The sequence below is a fragment of the Homo sapiens genome, chromosome 1 (assembly GCF_000001405.40).
Source record: "Homo sapiens chromosome 1, GRCh38.p14 Primary Assembly".
Lineage (NCBI taxonomy): Eukaryota > Metazoa > Chordata > Mammalia > Primates > Hominidae > Homo > Homo sapiens.
The window spans coordinates 101,656,524-101,677,171 of record NC_000001.11 but is presented as its reverse complement, the minus strand read 5'-3'; the positions used below and the strand labels follow the sequence as shown (position 1 = coordinate 101,677,171).

Here is a 20,648-nt window from a genome sequence, read left to right as displayed (position 1 = left end):
CCACCGCGCCCGGCCGCTAAGTACTTTTAAATGATAATGTGTCCAAGACACTGACTTTAAAATGCTGATGAAGATATTGTCCTATTCTGGAGGAGCTCAGAGTCTTTAGGAATCATAGATATATAGTGATATTGCATCATCAAAATGAAGAAAGCAATAAGATAGCGGTAAGTCCAGGGTGTAAAGGAGAACACAAGAATAAAAATTGTATTAGGCCATCGGTTACATGTAACAAATTAAAAAAATTAAATCTCCAATTCATTAGGAAATTAAATGTTATGGAAGAGTATTAGAATTCTGAAGTAAAACAAACAATTAGAAGAAAAAAAACGCAAGAACCAAAGCCATTCTGTGTGTATTAGGGACTGAAAAGGGAACTCGGTAATTATTAGAACTCCATCTCTCCATCTCTTGTCTCTGATGATTGTCTTTAATTTTTCCTAATGCAAGGCTTTTTTCATCTTAGTGACCCAGTAGGCAATAGGATCTTTAGTCTTCAGTTCTTGTTAGAATAACTTTGGTAAAGATTCTGCCAAGTCCCTTCTACTATAGTGAGAATGTCTAGGGCTGTAGCAGAAGTGAGATATGGGGAAAGGATACTGGGCAGATAAAAATCACTGTTACCATAGACACTATCCTCAAGAGAGAAGCTCAGAAATCCTCAGAAAGAAGGACTAAGGAGTCTCAAAAAACAGTACAATTTAGCCAAATCTTAAGCTAAAAGGGTAAAACAATAATAATTTTAAAAAGCAAAGATATCTCAGCAAGAATCAACCTGATATATAGCCAAGGTACAGTTTGAAGTGGTGATTATAAGGGAAGATGAGGCTGGAGTGTCAGGTAACGGTCAGGTCATGGAGAACCTTGTACACTATGCCCCAAATCAGAGATAATTGATGAGACTACATGAACTGAAAATCTAATTTTTAAATTTCCAATTCTACTTAAGATTTAATGAGCTAATGCACATTATGTCCCTCACAGGCAAAATTTCTTTCTTAGCAAAACCTACACCTGTGTATCGTATTCACCACCCCCTGCTCTTCCTCCACTATACATTTGTCACCAACTCTGATAATGTCATACATTTGTATGGTAACAAGCTTAGGGCTACACAGCAATGGTGGCAACTCAGAGACTGTTCTTCCTGGCAGGGTTTAGCTGCTTCAATCAGTTTTCTCTCAACCATCTCATTTTAGATTAGGGCATAAAATTCACTGAGTTTGCCAATCCATCCTGCACCCTCTCACTTGAACTCTATTCATCATTTTATCCAAAGAATTGCCTAGGAGAGAAGTATTTCTTGAGGCAAGTATAGAGTTGGGGCCTATTATAAAATAAATAGAGCCAGTGGGATAATTAATTTGTTTCAGTTGCATTAGAAATCCGCATTTGTGTTTTATGCATCCTTTCCAACTCAGCCTCCCTCTACCTTATAATTAATATTTTAGAGTCTTTTTCGCAGAGTGTATAGCCATCACAGGAAAACTGTGCCATTCTTTTTTTTGATTTTTTTTTTGTTCACATGCCAAACACTGCTGTGTAGCCTTCTCAGGGGAATTCTCTTTCAGCTTCAGAAAGTTGTTAACATAAGGCTGAGCCTGTACTGTGACCTTATTATGACAGCTTCTTCAAAACTACAAAAGACAAAGGACAGGAAAAGTTTAGAAATTGTGTCTGTTACATACGCACATGGTCCCCTCAATATGCTAAGCTTGGAAATGGTGGAAGCTACAGTTCTAGAAGAAAACCAAAGCAGTCAACCATTCTTGACTACTTTCAGCCATTTCAGTAGTCTGTAGCTCTTCGATATCAAAAATAAATGTAACTGTTAAAATGCAGGGAAGGATGGCAACTCTTCTGACAGAAAATATAGCCTATTAAAATGTTTAACCATTTGACTCAAATTATTGAAACTTTCAGGTTAATTCTAAGTTTTGGTATGGAATCCTCTTTACCTGTGAAGGTTTAAAAAAAACCCTGTGTAATTCCACATAGTGTAGTGACTTGAAGCATTCCATGGCAGATATAGAATATATACATGGTATAATATCAAGATAAGAAAACAGAAGCCAAAATAATATAAACATATTTTTGAAACCATACGAAGTTTATAAAAATTACTTTAAATGGTGAAAATTAAAATTAATCAACATAACCAACAAGAAGATAATTATGTGGTATATTCATCTCATGAGAGTTTTATAGTTGCTAAAAGTGACATAAATAAAAGTTTATAATGCAACAATGACATACTTATATGTAAAAAGTAAAACCAAGCATTATTTATACAATAGGGTCATATTATATAGATAAAATGCATAGAGAAAAGGTTTTATATGGAATGCTAATATTTTTAGTCTTTGTTTCAATGTTTCCAGGTATATTTTCATCAGTATTTTTTATAATAAGAAGTATAAACTACAGGTAAAACCATATTTGAAGAGCAGTTTGTCAAAATCTGTTAAAGGTGAAGACGTCCATGTCCTATACCTAGTAAGTTTATTCCTAGGTATATAACCAAAAGAAATCTTTACAGCTGTACACAAGCATACAAGTACAAGCAGGTTCCTTATAGCATTAACTAACTGCAAAAGAACAGAGAACAATCTTTGTTTTTTTGTTTTTGTTTTTTGAGATAGAGTCTCGCTCTGTTACCCAGGCTGGAGTGCAGTGGCACAATCTTGGCTCACTGCAACCTCCACCTCCCAGGTTCAAGTGATTCTCCTGCCTCAGCCTCCCAAATAACTGGGACTACAGGCGCACACCACCATGCCTGCTAATTTTTGTATTTTTAGTAGAGATGGGTTTTCACCATGTTGGCCAGGCTGGTCTCAAACTCCTGGCCTCCCAGAGTGCTGGGATTACAAACATAAGCCACCGTGCCCAGCCAAACTTTGTTTATTTAAAACAACATTAAATTCAATAAACTGGAACTGCATGTAGCAACATTGCTAAATCTCAGAAGCATACCATTGACCAAAAAAGAAAAGATCAAGTTGGAGTATGTACATATAGTATGACATTTTAATAAAGTTTAAGATATCTGTATTAATCCATTTCCACACTGCTGATAAAGACATAACTGAGAGTGAGCAATTTACAACAGAAAGAGGTTTAATTGGACTTACAGTTCCACATGGCTGAGGAAGCCTCACAATCATGGCAGAAGGCAAGGAGGGGCAAGTCACATCTTACATGGCTGGCAGCAAGCGAAAAATGAGAGAGAGCTTGTGCAGGGGAACACCTCTTTTTAAAACCATCAGATCTCATGAGACTTATTCACTATCATTACAACAGCACAGGAAAGACTTACCCCCATGATTCAATTACCTCCCACCAGGTCCTTCCCAAAACACATGTGAATTCAAGATGAGATTCGGGTGGTGACACAGCCAAACCATATCCACATCCCTTGTACAACTTCATAGCAAAAAAACCAAATAACCCAATTTAAAAAAGAGAAAAAGATTTGAATACACATTTCCCTAAAGAAGGGATACAAAAGTCAACATATATGAAAAGATGCTCAGCATCAATAATCATTAGGGAAATGCAAATTAAAACCACAATAAGATACCACTTCATGCCTGTTAGGATGGCTCGTATCAAGAAAACAAAGATAACAAGTGTTGGTGAGAATGTGGAGAAATTGGAACCCTTGTGTATTGTTGTTAGAAATGTAAAATAGTGCAGTCACTATGGAAAGCAGCATGTGGGATCAATCATTGAAAAATTAAAAAATAGAACTATCATATGATCTAGCAATCCCACTACTGAGTATATACACAAGATAATTGAAACCTAAATATCAAGGAGATATTTGCACTCCCATGTTTATTGCAGCATTGTTCATAACACCCAAGATATGTAAACAACCTGAATGTTCATCAACAGATGAATGGATTTTTAAAATGTGATTTATACATACAAGGGGATATTATTCAGCCTTAAAAGGAAGGAAATCCTGCAATATGCAACAGCATGGACGGAACTGGAGGATTATGCTAAATGAAGTAAGCCAGTCACAGAAAAACAAATATTGCATAATTATATGAAGTGTCTAAAATAGTCAAACTCATAGAAACAGAATGGAATGGTAGTTGCCAGGGACTGGGGGAAGAGATATGAGAAGCTACTCTTCTTCAGTTGTAAAGGGTCAGTTATATAAGATGAATAAATTCTAGAGATCTGCTATACAATGTAGTGCCTATAGTTAACAAGACTTGACAATTAAAAATTCTTTACTGCAATAATTTTTTTTTTTTTTGAGACAGAGTCTCACTCTGTCACCAGGCTGGAGTGCACTGGCACGATCTCAGGTCACTGCAACCTCCAACTCCCAGGTTCAAGTGATTCTCCTGCCTCAGCCTCCTGAGTAGCTGGTATTACAGGTGCCCACTACCATGCCCAGTTAATTTTCTTTTTTTTATTTTTATTTTTAGTACAGACGGGGATTCACCATGTTGCCCAGGATGGTCTGGATCTCTTGAACTTGTGATTCACCTGCCTTGGCCTCCCAAAGTGCTGTGATTACAGGCGTGAGCCACCACACCCAGTCAATAATTTTTAATTACAAAAATAAAACATCACTGTCTTAGCTCCTGCTGCTATAACAAATATCATAGACTAGGTGGCTTAAACAATAAGCATTTATTTCTCACATTTCTCTAGACTGGGAAGTCCAAGAAAAGGTGTCAGAAGATTTGGTGTCTAGTGTGGGCCCACCCACTTGAGGACAGCTACAAAGGCTATGTCCTCACAAGGCCCCGAGAGAGTTCTGTCCTCAGTGTCCTCACATGGGCCTGAGAGAGAGCTCTGGTCTTATCATTCCTTTCTAAGGACACAAGTTCCATCATGGGCTCCATCTCATGACCTCATCAAAACCTAATAACCTCCCAAAGGCCACACCTCCAAATCATCACACTGGGGATTAGGGCTTCAACATATGGATTTGAGGGGGACATTAAACATTCAGTCTATAGCAATCACAAAGAATGCTACATATTTTTTATGCATGTTTATATTTATAGTAAAAGTAACAATGAAAGAAATGCATGGAAAGGATAAATAATAAATTCAAGATAGTATAAACTGCTAGGAGGAAAGGGAAGAGATTAGATCAGGGAGAGATATATAGACTTCATCTGTGGTGGTTTCTATTTTTCTTTAGATTTTTTAAATTAAAAGCCAAGTAAAAATGGTAAAAATTAGGAAAGCTAGGTGGTGGGAATTTGGGTCATCACTATATGTACATCTTTTATAATAAGCTTGAATTATTTCATAATGTCAGACAAAATAAAATATTTTAATACATCTAAAGGTAGAAAAAATTAAATTTTATTATAAAAAGTAGCAAATGTTTATATTATTTTACACACGATAAAATTACCATATTTTTATACATCACAGTTTGTTGTGTACAAGAGCTTAAAAGTAGTATTATTTATGTGTTTAAATGGTCAGAAATGGAAAGAAACAGAAACACATTTCAACACTGAGAGAAAAACAAATAGTAAGTTGCAGATTGCTAAGAGAAAAAACAAATGAGAACCTAAGAAACTGGGAGTCTGAGTAGCTTTTAAATCTGGGTAATGTATAATTACTCAGAAGGCCATATAGGGTGTGATTGTGGGTACAGACTCTGTACGATATTGGTACTGTTAGGGTTTGAATTCTAGCTCTATTACTTAGTTATGCAACCATAGGCAACCTACATATTCTGACTGGGTCTCCATGCTTTTGTTTCCTCATTTATCAACTGTAGAGAATATGAATAATTACTTCATAAGCTAAATGTGAGAAAAAATGAGTTAATACATATGAAATGTTTAGAAATGTGGCAAGCACCTTTATCATTTAGATATTAGCTCAAAGTTTACTGCCTCAGAGATAACTTACCTAGGAATCCAATCTAATCCCACGTTCACTCTGTATCACATCATCCTGTATTATCATCTTTATAGCACTAAACATTTTCTCATAAAATTTTATAGCTGGTTTGTTTATTTGGCATTGCTGCCCTCCTTCAATATAATACAAGTTTCAGGAACACAGGGCCTTTCCTTGTCTTCTTCACCACTGTATTACCAGGACCTGGGTCAGCACCTGGCAAAAATATTTACTAAATGAAGCATAAGGGGCACACCTCTAACAGTGAAGGAGTCTTGACAAACTTGAATGTCTATTCTTGGATATTCTTCCAGATGTTGTGGAAGTCACATATATCAAGACAGATCTGGTGAAAAGGCTAACCCAGACTAACTCATGTCAAACCATTCAATACCTCCTAGACCAGCCGCCCCTTCAACAGAAATAGTTTACACTCACAGCCACTGCTAAAGTAGTAGAACTATTATAATATAGGGGTTCGGATCCAGACCCCAAGAGAGGGTTCTTGGATCTCATGCAAGAAGGAATTCAGGGCAAGTCCACAGTGCAAAGTAAAAGCAAATTTATTTAAAAAGTAAAGTGGTGAAAGGACAGCTACTCCATAGGCAGAGTGGGACGTTCCTGAAAGTAACAGGAGGAACGCATCTACCCTAGGTACAATGTTTGTTTATATGGGGAGATGTGCTCTGCTACAAAGGTTTGTGATAAAGGATTAACTTTCTTAATTACTGTATTTTTCAAGAATCAATATTATTATCTTTAAAGCAATATTAGGAATGCCTTTGCTTTCCAGATATTGGGATATCTGGACATTCCTAAGTCTGGGTCTGTTTAGTAAACATTATTAATTTATTCCCTTAACCATAAACATCTAGAGGCTAGGAATGCCTAAATTCCTGAGAATGCAGCCCGGCAAGTCTCAGCCTCATTTTCCTAGCCCTCACTCAAAATGGAGTTGCTCTGGTTCAAATGCCTCTGACAGAACTAACCATCTATGTTGTATCATATGAACCTGTCTTCCAGCCAAAGCTAAGAGGACTAGGAATGAACAAAGGGTTCTCCAAATGTTAGCTGGGCTTAGGCAATCACATCCCCTCAAGAGAATCTGAACAAAATGCACAGAGACAGTTGTCAATTAATGTTGGTTGTTGAAGCTAAGTATTCATGATGTAGTGGCAGAGTCTGGAGACCATGTTGAACCAGGTACATTTTGAGTAAGCAAAAAGAGAGATGAATAGAACATTAGGCAAAGCAGAGATAAGAAAGACCACATGGCTCTAGAGAGCTAATAGGAATGAATTAACTTCCTGGCCCCCAATTCCATTACAATATAAAATGTGAACTTTGCCTTGGGATCATGAATATCCTCTGCATTGCATGATAAAATCCTCTATTTTACTAGTGGAAAAGAGTGACTATTTGCAACCAAAAGAACTTTGACTGGAACGCTATTGAAATTTACATATTTTTATTCAAGAGTAAATGTGATCCAAATTTGTTGAATCTAGGTGACCTGTTAAGAAACAGTCAACAAAGAGCAATCAAGTGTGTAAGCCAAATCCAATCAAAATGCAACTCTTACATTATGAATTTACTCATAGAGGGGGGAATCATGGTGAAGTCAAATAGACATGAAGGTCCTTAGAAGTGGTTACCATGTCCTAAACTTCTCTAGTCCCTTCACATTACTCAACAAAGTTGAAATTCTTCCATGTTTTTCCCTTTTTCTCTTGCATGCCTATTTTTCTATAGGAGATGAGATTTGCTTTGATATTTGTTGCAACAGAAAATCTTAACCATTAGACCTAAAACCATAAAAACCCTAGAAGAAAACCTAGGCATTACCATTCAGGACATAGGCATGGGCAAGGACTCCATGTCTAAAACACCAAAAGCAATGGCAACAAAAGCCAAAATTGACAAATGGGATCTAATTAAACTAAAGAGCTTCTGCACAGCAAAAGAAACTACCATCAGAGTGAACAGGCAACCTACAAAATGGGAGAAATTTTTCACAACCTACTCATCTGACAAAGGGCTAATATCCAGAATCTACAATGAACTCAAACAAATTTACAAGAAAAAAACAAACAACCCCATCAACAAGTGGGCGAAGGACATGAACAGACACTTCTCAAAAGAAGACATTTATGCAGCCAAAAAACACGTGAAAAAATGCTCACCATCACTGGCTATCAGAGAAATGCAAATCACAACCACAGTGAGATACCATCTCACACCAGTTAGAATGGCAATCATTAAAAAGTCAGGAAACAACAGGTGCTGGAGAGGATGTGGAGAAATAGGAACACTTTTACACTGTTGGTGGGACTGTAAACTAGTTCAACCATTGTGGAAGTCAGTGTGGCGATTCCTCAGGGATCTAGAACTAGAAATACCATTTGACCCAGCCATCCCATTACTGGATACCCAAAGGACTATAAATCATGCTGCTACAAAGACACATGCACATGTATGTTTCTTGCGGCACTATTCACAATAGCAAAGACTTGGAACCAACCCAAATGTCCAACAATGATAGACTGGATTAAGAAAATGTGGCACATATGCACCATGGAATACTATGCAGCCATAAAAAAGGATGAGTTCATGTCCTTTGTAGGGACATGGATGAAATTGGAAATCATCATTCTCAGTAAACTATCCCAAGAACAAAAAACCAAACACCATATAATCTCACTCATAGGTGGGAATTGAACAATGAGAACACATGGACACAGGAAGGGGAACATCACACTCTGGGGACTGTTGTGGGGTGGGGGGAGCGGGGAGGGATAGCTTTAGGAGATATACCTAATGCTAAATGACGAGTTAATGGGTGGAGCACACCAGCATTGCACATGTATACATATGTAACAAACCTGCACATTGTGCACATGTACCCTAAAACTTAAAGTATAATAATAATAAAATTTAAAAATTTAAAAAAATAAAAAAAAAAGAAAATCTTAACCCAATGGTACTAGCACAGCACAGCAATTATAACTCAAGCTAGTTTCATTCTACTAGTTTGTGTTTCTCTGCCCAACAAAATGGTTAATTATATACCACCAAGAAATGTGGTGAGTATAGAGTGTAAATCATTGTAAGAACTTAAGTTTAAAGGCATCAACAAACTTCTTTAAATATAAAAAGTAAAAGAAGCCTTAAAAATTGCTTCCTTAGAAACTGAGAAAGTAATTCTGGAAAGTCACAGTCTATTTTCCAAAAGGAATAAAACAGAAAAATAATAGGTTTAGCATAAGGATGGAAATGGAATGCCAAGGCCTATTTATTTCAAAGATACAGAGTATTACGGAATAGTCAATAAAATATGAATGCAAATTGTCTGAGTTTCACTCTGAAACGTGCCAATAAAAACTTGGCTGACTGAACATTATTTCCTATCATACAGTTGTGAAAATGTGGAAGATATACAATAAATTTTTTTATAAATACAGAACCTTTTATGTAAATCTGGACCCTGAGTTCCCAGGAGCATCAGAATTCTTCCCTGACTCAGTTATCTCTCCACTTTCCAGTGCTGTGTTATCCAGAGAACACAAATAATTATCCACCGTTAAGAAAACAACATTTGCATCATTATGCAGTAGAAAGTGTAAGTTCTTTCAAGAATGCTAAAAAATTAGACATACTAATAAAGTTTGTCTTTTGTCTCAAAAAGTGTATTTTATTATAAATTATGACTTTCAGGAACATGGCTTATTTGAATGAAAAAAAATCAACAGACTATATTGAGAGTTTTGAACTGACTCCCCATGCCTACCTTGACTGGGTTGATTAGGTAAAACGAACTAGAAATTCAGGGCATACATAGCTTTTTCCAGTATTCAAAAGTTTGTTCCCGATCTCCCAGAGTGTGACAGGCTAAAAAGGCAAAATGTTTTGTATATCATCACTTACATCCTCGGTAAAATGTATTTAAAACCCTCTGGAGAAGAGGTGTTAGGCAAATCCCAAATATGGTTAGTATTTAAGCTTAGTAGAGTAGAAATATTTTAAAGGTTGGCTTCCATCAAATCTTTGCACATAAATAATAGAGGGGCCTTACTTGCCTTGTAGAAGACAACCAAAGCAAAGAGAAGCTTTATTTAGACTACAGTAGCTACAGCTTGCTTCAGCAAGTTTTAAAGATTTTCTTCTCCTTTCCATCAAATAACCCCTAAAGTGTCATATTCTTGTTAGTTTCCCAAGCAAAAGCAAGAAATACTCTATTAAAAATTTTATAGCTGAGTAAACCAAGTCCCAAAGCACAATAAAAAATACAGCAAAAGGAACAATAAGTTTTCACAGTTACTTTATAAAATAAGTTTATTTCAGGTTATTTTCAGGCTATCTTTAAAATAAAAATTGATTTGTGACCAGAATTGACCCAAATTAGGCTCCCAACCTTTGTCTGTTTGGGCTATTACATTGCTTCATGGGTTGCCTTCAATAGAAATGTCATAGTTATTCTTCAAAAACTAAGACTTAATTAGATTTTTAAGGGCTTTTTGTCTAACCAAAACTATCAGATTTTTTTCCTGATAAAAATGTGAACTTCCTGCATTTTGAATTCACTCAGAATCTCTCTCAATAGAGGTTATGGGGAGGGAAAGATTCAACTCCTCAATTTTAGCTTCCCAGGAACCAAATAAAGATGGGCACATTCATTTATGGTCTCTTCTATGCACTGGCCTTTGTCATAAACCAACTGAATCTAATAACATAATTCCTCAATTAGAGAACATCAGCAGTTGTAAAAAAAAAAAAACCACCATTTGCTTAATAAAAACTTTCCAAGTAATTTACACATTAATGGAAGGTACATTTAATCTCAGAAGTGGTGAAGATCTGCATTACAGCCAGGAAGAAGATTTCAGTTCCCAGATTCTCTTCATAAAAACATTGCCTAGAAGGAGCTCCTAACTCAGAGAACCTGTTAACATCTGTATTATCTTCAACTACAGACAGTTCAAAGTATTAAAAATATAGAAAACTAGGATATTGTCAAGTGCTGACTCCCTGAAATATTATCAAAGCAACTTTTGATAAGATAAGGCTGAGTTTAATTTTACCATGGTAAAGGAAGGCACTACCTTAGCAAAGTCATAGTTGTATCTCAGAGCAGGGAGTACAAAGTTGGGATATTTGTGGGGTTTTAGACTCTGGTTTAAGGTGGGCCTTTCAATTCATGAGCTTAGTTAAATTTTGTAACAATGTGTTAGTTTAGTATTGATGTGTCCAAAGACAAGGCTTTTCAGGCAAGTTCAAATAGTCTTGGAGACTAAACAATCATTAGAACCTATCTATTGAAGAGTTAAATAGTTTGATATTCATTTAAATAAATTCTTCTGGATGTTCCTGGAATAAACAATAAATTTACTTTCAACTTTTGTCTTCCTAGGCAAGAGTTTCTTGGAAATTGGAAACAGTGGAAGAGTAAAGTCACATTAATGTCGACAGAAAGCTGCATGGGTGCAGATGTTTCAGTTCTCAAGGTCCCTAAAGCAATAGCCATACAATATATGATAGCACCGGGAAAAAATATATAAGCTAGGATACGTTCAAGTAAAGCTGGTTGTATAGTAAAGCTTGTCTTTATATGACAAGACTCCATCCTTTCCAGATACATAGCCCACATACCTTTTTTTGTTCCAAATAAGAGAACTGCATAACTTTCAATAAAGCTATTTTACTCCAAAGATGAACCGCTTTCTGAAAATAAGACATATCATTGACTTCCAGCACACTGAGGTGAAGACCTAATGCAATACCATGTGCCAGTTATTGCAGCCAGAAGGTGTGTGATTCTGTTCTTTCTTAGGTTCACTTCCTATACAGCTCTAGAAATATCAGTAAAGGAAGGTTGGTTATGTTATCTATATAATAGAATTTTTGCTTTTTTTTAGCTTATTTCTGTTAAGGTCAGGCACAATGTGGTATAGCAATTAAGAGCATAGACTAGCTAGACCATGTACTCAAATCCTGGCTGTGCTACTTATTAGCTGAGTAAAAGTTGACTTGGTTAGAAATAAACTTTCAGTGCCACGAAAGAAATAGCACTCAAACATAAATGTAATTTTCTCAGCAAGGCAATTTTACTTCTATAGAAGGGTGCACATCACAGATGGAGCAATGGCAAGAGCACACCTGCACAAGGGAGGGAAAGGCGTTCTTATCCCTGATGCAGGTAGCCCCTACAGCTGTGTCATTCCCCTATTGGCTTGGGTTTGGGTTGGACTGCACAATCTAAGCTAATTATGATTGGCTATTTTAAAGAGAGCAAGGATACAAGCTGGAGTGGCAGGGTGAGTAGTTTGGCCGGAAGGACAGTTACAGAACAGGTGACTCTGGATGACTCAGGTCAGAGCAGGTGACCAGGGGTGACTCAGGATGGAGCAGGTGATAGAAGCTAGGAGGAGGTTGTTTACTGAAACTAGGGGCAAGGAGACAAAGATAATGAGGAAGTTAAACTTTAAAATGAAGAACAAAGAAGAGGGGAGCTGAACATACTGATACATTGCGTCTTTGGAGAGGATCTCAGAACTCATTGTACTTAAGAATTTACAGGCTAAAACCTTTGAAGAGGAATTTATTATATCCTACAGTTATTTTACCAATCTGTGCATCAGTCCCTTTGTCTGTAATATGGGGAAAATAATAGTCATAATACAATAAGTTGTTATGAAGAAAAATGAGCTAATAAACATGAAGCAGTTTGAATAGTACTGTTTCAACAGTCAGCAAACTACAGCCTGGAATCATTGCCTGTTTTTGTACAACCTGTGAGCTAAGAATGGTTTTTGTATTTTTAATCATCTTTTTAAAGTCAGAGCAAAAATAATATCTTGTGACATGTAAAAATTACATACAATTAAAATTTCAGTATTTATAGTAAAGTTTTGTTAGGATACGTACCTGCTCATTTGCTCATTTATTGTTTCTGGAAGCTTTTGCACTGCAATAACAGAGTTCAATGATTGCAACAGAGATAATATATAATATGGCTTGGTTTTGCAGGAAAAGTTTGCTGACTCCTGCTATAGCAGATACTACTGCCTGTGGTCTGCTCAGATTCCATTGCTTTACCAGTTCTGTGCATCCTTCCCTTGGCTTTTATTTGTACTACAAATTATTTCATTGTGGTTCTCTTTAGAGGCTGCCCTTGAGCTATTACAACTACTTTGACTGCACAGAGGTCTGGAAATACCTGGGAGTTTATATTTCCGTCATCCTGGTATGACCCGAAGCCAATAACTAAATGATGTGAGAATATAGCTCCCTTGCCTCAAGTTGGAATAAATTCTGAGGGATAATTTATACTTCATAGATAATTTTATACTTCAGATACTTTTTATTGGGAAATAGCTTATTTTTCAGTCTTCTACTTATCATTCAGCATAGCACAGTATCCTGCCATGCTGTGGAGGTCACCAGGTTAATTTTTTTCCATTGCCACTATCTTTTTCCTTTAAAAAAAAACTGTGAGAAGGAAAATACTAAATTGGGTACAGTTTTTTTGTTTTGCTTTGTTGTTGGTTTTTTGTTTTTGTTTTTTTTTTTTTTTGGAGACAGAGTCTCGCTCTGTCACCCAGGCTGGAGTGCAGTGGCACAATCTCAGCTTACTGAAAGCTCTGCCTCCCAGGTTCACGCCATTCATCCCACCTTAGCCTCCTGAGTAGCTGGGACTATAGGCGCCTGCCACCATGCCCGGCTAATTTTTTTGTATTTTTAGTAGAAATGGGGTTTCACCGTGTTAGGCAGGATGGTCTCAATCTCCTGACCTCACCATCCACCTGCCTCAGCCTCCCAAAGTGCTGAGATTACAGGCGTGAGCCACCATGCCCAGCCAGGTACAGTATTTTTAAAAAAGGTTTTCATTGCTTAGAAACAAGAACAACACATTTTAATGTCTCCTATTCTTACTACAGTTGCTCAGAATTTTCTGGTTAACAATTTAATGCTCATGGTTTGGTGATCTAGATATCAGTTTTCTTTCTCCAGGTTGAGTTATTGAGCAGTTTTTGACTACCCATTATATAACAGGACCTATGATAATTACTGAGAACACAGTGAATGTAAGATGACCCAGATACTAAAAATTTCACACTTTTGTGAGGAACTTGCAATTTCATATGCCACTAGAGAAGGGAATGAACCTTCCACTATATTTCAAATTTTTGGAGTGCCAAGCACAGGGATGTACTGAATAAATACTTGCTAAATGTAATTGTATCTCATCATTCCCAAAAACGGAAATCTATTCAGCCAAGAAGCAGCTGAATTTCATACATAATTTCTAGTAAAGAAATTATTGACACATAGCTCAACATGTTATATTGTCACAAGAAATGGGCACCAGGCTGAAAACTTGAAGTCCTGACTCTTTCTTTCCACTCTATTGATAAATCCCTAGGTGACCTTAGGTAATTCTTTTTATTCTCTAAACCTCAATTTCTTTAACTATAAAATTAAGAAGCCAGATTAGATTATTCATAAGGTTTATTTCAGCTCTGAAATTCTGATTCTTCTGAACTCTTAAATTATTTAGCAATGCCTGACTTCTCATGAAATAATAGACCTTACTTCATGGCCTTATCCAATACTATTATGTGAGTTAAACTACAGATTTTTTCACTGTGATAAACTTTATTGTTGAGGCAGAACTAATATGTCCCATGATTTATTCCTTTTACAGTCTCAGGTGTAAAAATACTTCCCCAATATGTCATTCTTAGTTTTCAGTCTCTTGTTTTTAAATATGTTTGCAATTAGTTCTGAAAATATTTACTAATAATTTTCCATCTCAGATTTATAGATAGATCCAAGTTCCAATTAATTTCACAATTTTCTATCCCAACAAATTGCCTCATTTTATCATTTTCAGTTAATTTTAAGAGTTTTCAATTTTGAACACATTCAAACTTGTTCTCTTTTTATTAAACCACTTTGCCTCCTTCTTAGGTCCCTAGTCCTCATTAAGAGTCCTAAGACTAGTAGAGATGGAAAATGTCAGCAACGTGGCAGAGTAAAATTTTCAAGCAAAGATAGAAAATGTCAGCAACATGGCAGAATAAGATTTTGAGGCACTTATCCCATTATAAAAGCATCAATTTGAACAAGTACCTATGCATAAAACTATCTTCACACCAGCTAGGAAATCTAGGTGAGAGATTACAGCACCCAGGGGAAGCACAGAAATAAGGAAAGATGCATTGAAAAGTGTACAAAGGACAGTTTCACATTACACACACCACCACTCCCCCCAGCATGGGCAGCACAGTGCAAAGAAAAATACTATCCACATAGGGAAAGAAGAATAAAGTGAAAAGTCAGCTTTCCCACAGACCCCAGCACCAGGTTCATGACAGTAAACCAATGCCAGGCTGGTCCCTGTGGACTCAGGCTCCAAGCCCACCCCAGCACCAGGCCAACACCCATGGTCCCAGGGTTGTGGCCTCCCCAGTGCAAGGGGAGGCAACCACAACTCCAGAATCCTGGATATCCCCTTCAGACCCAGGCTCCAGCCACACTCCATCACCAGGCTGGCCCTTGTGGACCTAGAATTCAGTCCCATACCACAGACTCAAGCGCCAGGTTTATCCATGCAGACAGAAGCTTCAGGTTCATACCTGCAGACTTAAGCTTCAGTATAGCCTCTGCAGACCCAGGCTCCAGGCTGGCTGCTGTGGACTCAGGTGCTAGGCCTGCCTTCCCACTGACCCAGGACCCAGGCCACCCCATCTAAGGATAACAGCAGCAGACTAATCAGTAGAACCCACTAAATGGCCCACATAAAATCTCTGGATAGGCTAACTACTGAAGCCAGTCAGTAAGGACTCTAAGAAGTGCCTAGTTCTTCAAATGCACAGACATCAAGGCCACTAGGATCATAAATAATCAGAAAACAATGACATCACTAAAGGAACAAAATAAAGCACCAGTAACTTATCCTAAAGAAATGAAGATTTACAAACTTCTCAACAAATAATTAAAAATAATAATTTGAAAGTAGCTCAGTAAGCTGTAAGAGAACCTGGAGAGGCAACCAGACAAAACAAGGAAAATAATAATGAATAATATGAGAAGTTCAACAAAGAGGTAGAAACTAGAAAAAAAGTACCAAATTATAGTTCTGGAGCTGAAGAACACAATGACTGGGCTGAAAAATTCCATAGAGAGCTTTAAGCAGAAGAAAGAATCAGCAAGCAAAAAGATAAGTCATTTGAAAGTAACAAGTCAGAAGAATAAAAAGAAAAACCAATGTTGCATTTCTACACACTAAAAATGACTCTATAAAAAAGCAAAACAATCTCCTTTACAATGGCATTATGGAAGAATAAAATGCTTAAGAATAAATTTAACCAAGCAGTTGAATGATCTGTACACTGAAAACTACAAGATATTAATGAAATAAATTTTGAAGACACAAATAACTGGAAAGATTTCTCATGTTTATGGATTGGAATAATTAACATTGTAAAATGGCAATTCTACTCAAAGTAAGCTACAGAGTCTTGCAATCCCTATAAAAATACAATGACATTTTTAATAAAAATAGAAAAAAATCCTAAAATTCATACGGAACTACAAGAGAATTCAAATAGCCAAAGCAATCTTGAACAAAAGGAACCAAGCTGGAGGCATCGAACTATCTGATTTCAAAATGTACTACGAAGCTATACCAACCAAAACAGAATAGTTCAGGCATAAAAAGAGACATATACATCAATGGAACAGAATAGGAGAGCTCAGAATTAAATCCACATTCATGGCCAATTTACCTTCAATAAATATGCCAAGAACACAAAATAAGGAAAGTCTCCTCAATATACTGTGCTGGGAAAACTGGATATCCACAGTCAAAAGAATGAAATTGGAATCTTATACCATATGCAAATATAAACTCAAAATGAATTTAAGACTTAACTGTAAAATTGCTAGAATAAAATATAGGGGAAAACTTATTTACATTAGGATAGGCAATAACTTTTTTGATATGACACCAAGGCACAGGCAGCAAAAGCAAAATAGTAGACAAATGGGAATGCATCAAACTAAGAAGCTTCTGTACAACAAAGAAAATGATTGAAGGAGTAAAGACACAACCTAAGAAATGGGAGAAAATTTTGCAAGCCATATATCTGATAATGTGTTAATAGCCAAAAATATAGAAACTCAAATAACTCAATAGCAAGATAACAAATAACTCTATTAAAAAGTGTGCAAATGACCTGAACACACTTTTCTCAGAGGAAGACATACAAATAGCCAATAAGTATATGAAAAGATACTCAACATACCTAATCATCCAGGAAATGCAAATCAAAACCATGAGATATCACCTCACAATGATTAAAATGGTTAAGATAAAGACAAAAGCACAAGTATTGGCATGGATGTGGAGAAAAGGAAATCTTGTATACTGTTGACAGAAATGTAAATTGCTATAGCCATTATGGAAAACAGCGTGTATTTTTCTCAAAATATTAAAAATAGACTACTATATGATTCAATAATCTCACTTCTGGATATATATCCAAAGCAAATGAAATCAGTATCTCAAAGTACCTCCATGTTCAACACAATATTATTCACAAAAGTCAAGATATAGAATCAACCTAAATGCCGGTCAACAGAAGAATGGACTACACACACACACACACACACACACACACACACATGCACACATGTATATACACACATATATAATGAAATATTATTTAGTATTAGCAATGAAGGAAATCTCATCATTTGCAATAACACAGATGAAGGATGTTACATTTAGTGAAGTAAGCCAGGCACAGAAAGACAAACACCAAATAATCTTGCTTATCTATAGATCTAAAAAGTAGAACTTACAGAAGTCCAGAGTAGAATTAGCAGTTGGCAGGGGCTTGGGACTGGGAAAAATTGGGAGAAGTTAATCAACGGGTACAAAGTAGGAGTTATCTGCATTTTTCTTGATGCAAATAATTTACTTTTTGGTCTTGCAGACATAGTTATAGTTATGTAGTTGAGTATTCACCTTATTCTAGTTGTTTTAATGAGAATTTTAGTTTCATGTGATTCTAAATATAAATTTATATTTAAGAATGTAATATTCATGTTCCCCTTCCCATCTCTGAAACTATGCTTCTTCCCAAAGCCCTTCTTCAATGTAAAGGAAGAGAATTTTCTCACCACCACTACTGATCTCTGTATCATTTATCCACAGTTTTAACATTTATTGGACCCTAAGTACTTGGCCTGATGCTAAACTTTGAGAATATAGAGAGAGAGAAGAAGAGAGGTTTTTTTTCTTTTAAAGGAGTTAAATTACATTTTGAAGAATGAGTGAAGTTATAAGAGAGAAAATAGAGGCTTGAAGATCAGAAAACACAGCATTCAAGAACCTGTAAGTATTCTAGGATGGCTAGAGCACTGCATCCTCCATAAAACACACTAAGACTAATCAAATATCACTGGAATGTGCATGATTTATCTATATAGTTATCATTATTTCCTCTTCCTATGTTGGCCCTAATATAGGGTAATATACTTTCTGATGAAAGAAAATAAAATATATTTTTTCTTTTTAAAAAATTTTCACCATTACTCATTTCCTTTTTTTTTTTTCTCCAGTTTTTAATTTATCACCCAAACCCATCATTCAATGTTCCTATCTTCCTGGGCCCTATTTCAGGTGTCACTGTGTAAGTAGGAGCCAATTGCAAACCATGCCCAAGGACAATTCTACACTAAAATTCTAGCATTTAGCATTTATAGATTTAGAAGACTAAAAGCTGAGGTAAAGAGATGAAAAATTAGCTTCACACTCAGATCTCACAGTCAGCACTGTGTGTTATGAAGTCCTGCATATACAAGTTCTTTAAGATCATTTTTTAAGGAAATGTGTAAATTGAAAAAAAAATAAGAATAATTTGGCCAGGCGCAGTGGCTCACGCCTGTAATCCCACCACTTTGGGAGGCTAAGGCTGGTGGATCACCCGAAGCCAGGAGTTCTACCAGCCGACCAATGTGGAGAAACCCTGTCTCTACTAAAAATACAAAATTAGCCCCCATCTCTACTAAAAATACAAAATTAGCCAGGCGTGGTGGCACATTCCTGTAAGCCCAGCTACTTGGGAGGCTGAGGCAGGAGAATCACTTGAACCCGGGAGGTGGAGGTTGCAGTGAGCCAAGATCACACCATGGCACTCCAGCCTGGGCAACAAGAGCAAAACTCTGTCAAAAAAGAAAGAAGAAGAAGAAGAAGAAGAAGAAGAAGAAGAAGAAGAAGAAGAAGAAGAAGAAGAAGAAGAAGAAGAAGAAGAAGAAGAAGAAGAAGAAGAAGAAGAAGAAGAAGAAGAAGAAGAAGAAGAAGAAGAAGAAGAAGAAGAAGAAGAAGAAGAAGAAGAAGAAGAAGAAGAAGAAGAAGAATTTTACACTCTTTGTAAAGAAAGAAAGGAAACAACATATTTGATACTTTAAAAAAAGTGACAAAAAAAATTTTTAATATATACATAAGTAGAGAGAGTGCCTGGTTTGTCCCCTAACCCCAAAAGGTCCTTAATGAGCCAAAAAATATACACAAATATAAATAATAATTTATCTATAGATACTTACACACTGAATGGCATTATGAATACATTTGCCTATACACACATACATGCATGTGCGTACCTGAGATCCTTGCTCTCTGTTGAATGATCAAATCCTATGAGATGAGATTAACTTCAAGGGTCAGACTTACTTTAGATAGGTGACCATAAAGATCCAAATTAAACAGATTCTCCACAATTATCTCTCATCAAAGTTTGCAGAAGAGTGGCACTGGTATGGGAGAAGGGCAGAAAAATGCTGGGAGAAGAAGGGCAGGGTCCCTGGCGAGGGCTCCACCCTCGAGCTTGTACCCACGGACCTAGGTGAGGACAGGCACTCCTGTTTTTGTGCCCAAATGTTGCATTTTCTAAGACCACCCTAACCTGCCATGCCCCCTATCCTGTGCCTATAAAAACCCTGAGACTCTAGTGGCCATGCACACAAGTGGCTGGACATCGAGAGGAACACACCAGCAGAAGAGCACACAGGCAGTTAGACGTCTAGAGGAGCAGAGGAACAGAAGAGCACACCAACAGGCAACAGCAGACACCAGCAGGCCATCGACCAGTGGAACAATGTGGATGCTGAGGGGAATTTGCCCAGGGTGGTCAGAGGAGAGTGCAGCCATTGAGTGACTGAACTCCGGGGGAAAACCACCTTCCCACTCCATCCCCTTTCTGGCTCCCCATCCATCTGCTGAGAGCTACTTCCACCATTCAATAAATTCTTGCATTCATTCTCCAAGCCCATGTGTGATCTGATTTTTTCCAGCACACCAAGGCAAGAACTCTGGGATACAGAAAGCCCTTTGTCCTTGTGATAAGGGTCTAATTGAGCTGATTAATACAAGTTGCCTACACACGGCAAAACTAAAAGAGCACACTGTAACACACACCCACTGGGGCTTCAGGAGCCGTAAACATTCACCCCTAGACACTGCTATGAGGTCAGAGCCCCACAACCTGACCATCTCCATGCTCCCCCTAGAAGTTTGAGCTGCGGGGCATCAAATAAGTGAGCCACACCTTCATCATACACCCTGCAAGGGGGATAAGGGAAATTTTCCCATTTCAGCACCATTCACCTTTCCCATCCCTTCCCATTATATATTCTCAATACAACCATGGCTGCATTCCCTCTTTTCATATTTATGATGTAATTAATCATCT

General features: G+C 36.9%; 1 long non-coding RNA gene across 7 annotated transcripts in view, besides 1 other annotated feature; it reads right to left on the bottom strand.

Moving 5' to 3' along the window:
• LINC01709 (long intergenic non-protein coding RNA 1709) overlaps positions 1-20,648 on the bottom strand; it is a 147,996-nt gene that overhangs the window by 110,398 nt on the left and 16,950 nt on the right. The window lies entirely within an intron of this gene.
• Positions 11,909-13,108: an enhancer, noted in NCBI's record as "CDK7 strongly-dependent group 2 enhancer chr1:102129620-102130819 (GRCh37/hg19 assembly coordinates)". NCBI's record gives its function as "activates an origin of replication core promoter dependent on BRD2, BRD4, P300/CBP, MED14 and CDK7 cofactors, with strong dependence on CDK7, by STARR-seq in HCT116 cells {active_cell/tissue: HCT116}" and the evidence as "EXISTENCE:reporter gene assay evidence [ECO:0000049][PMID:35650434]".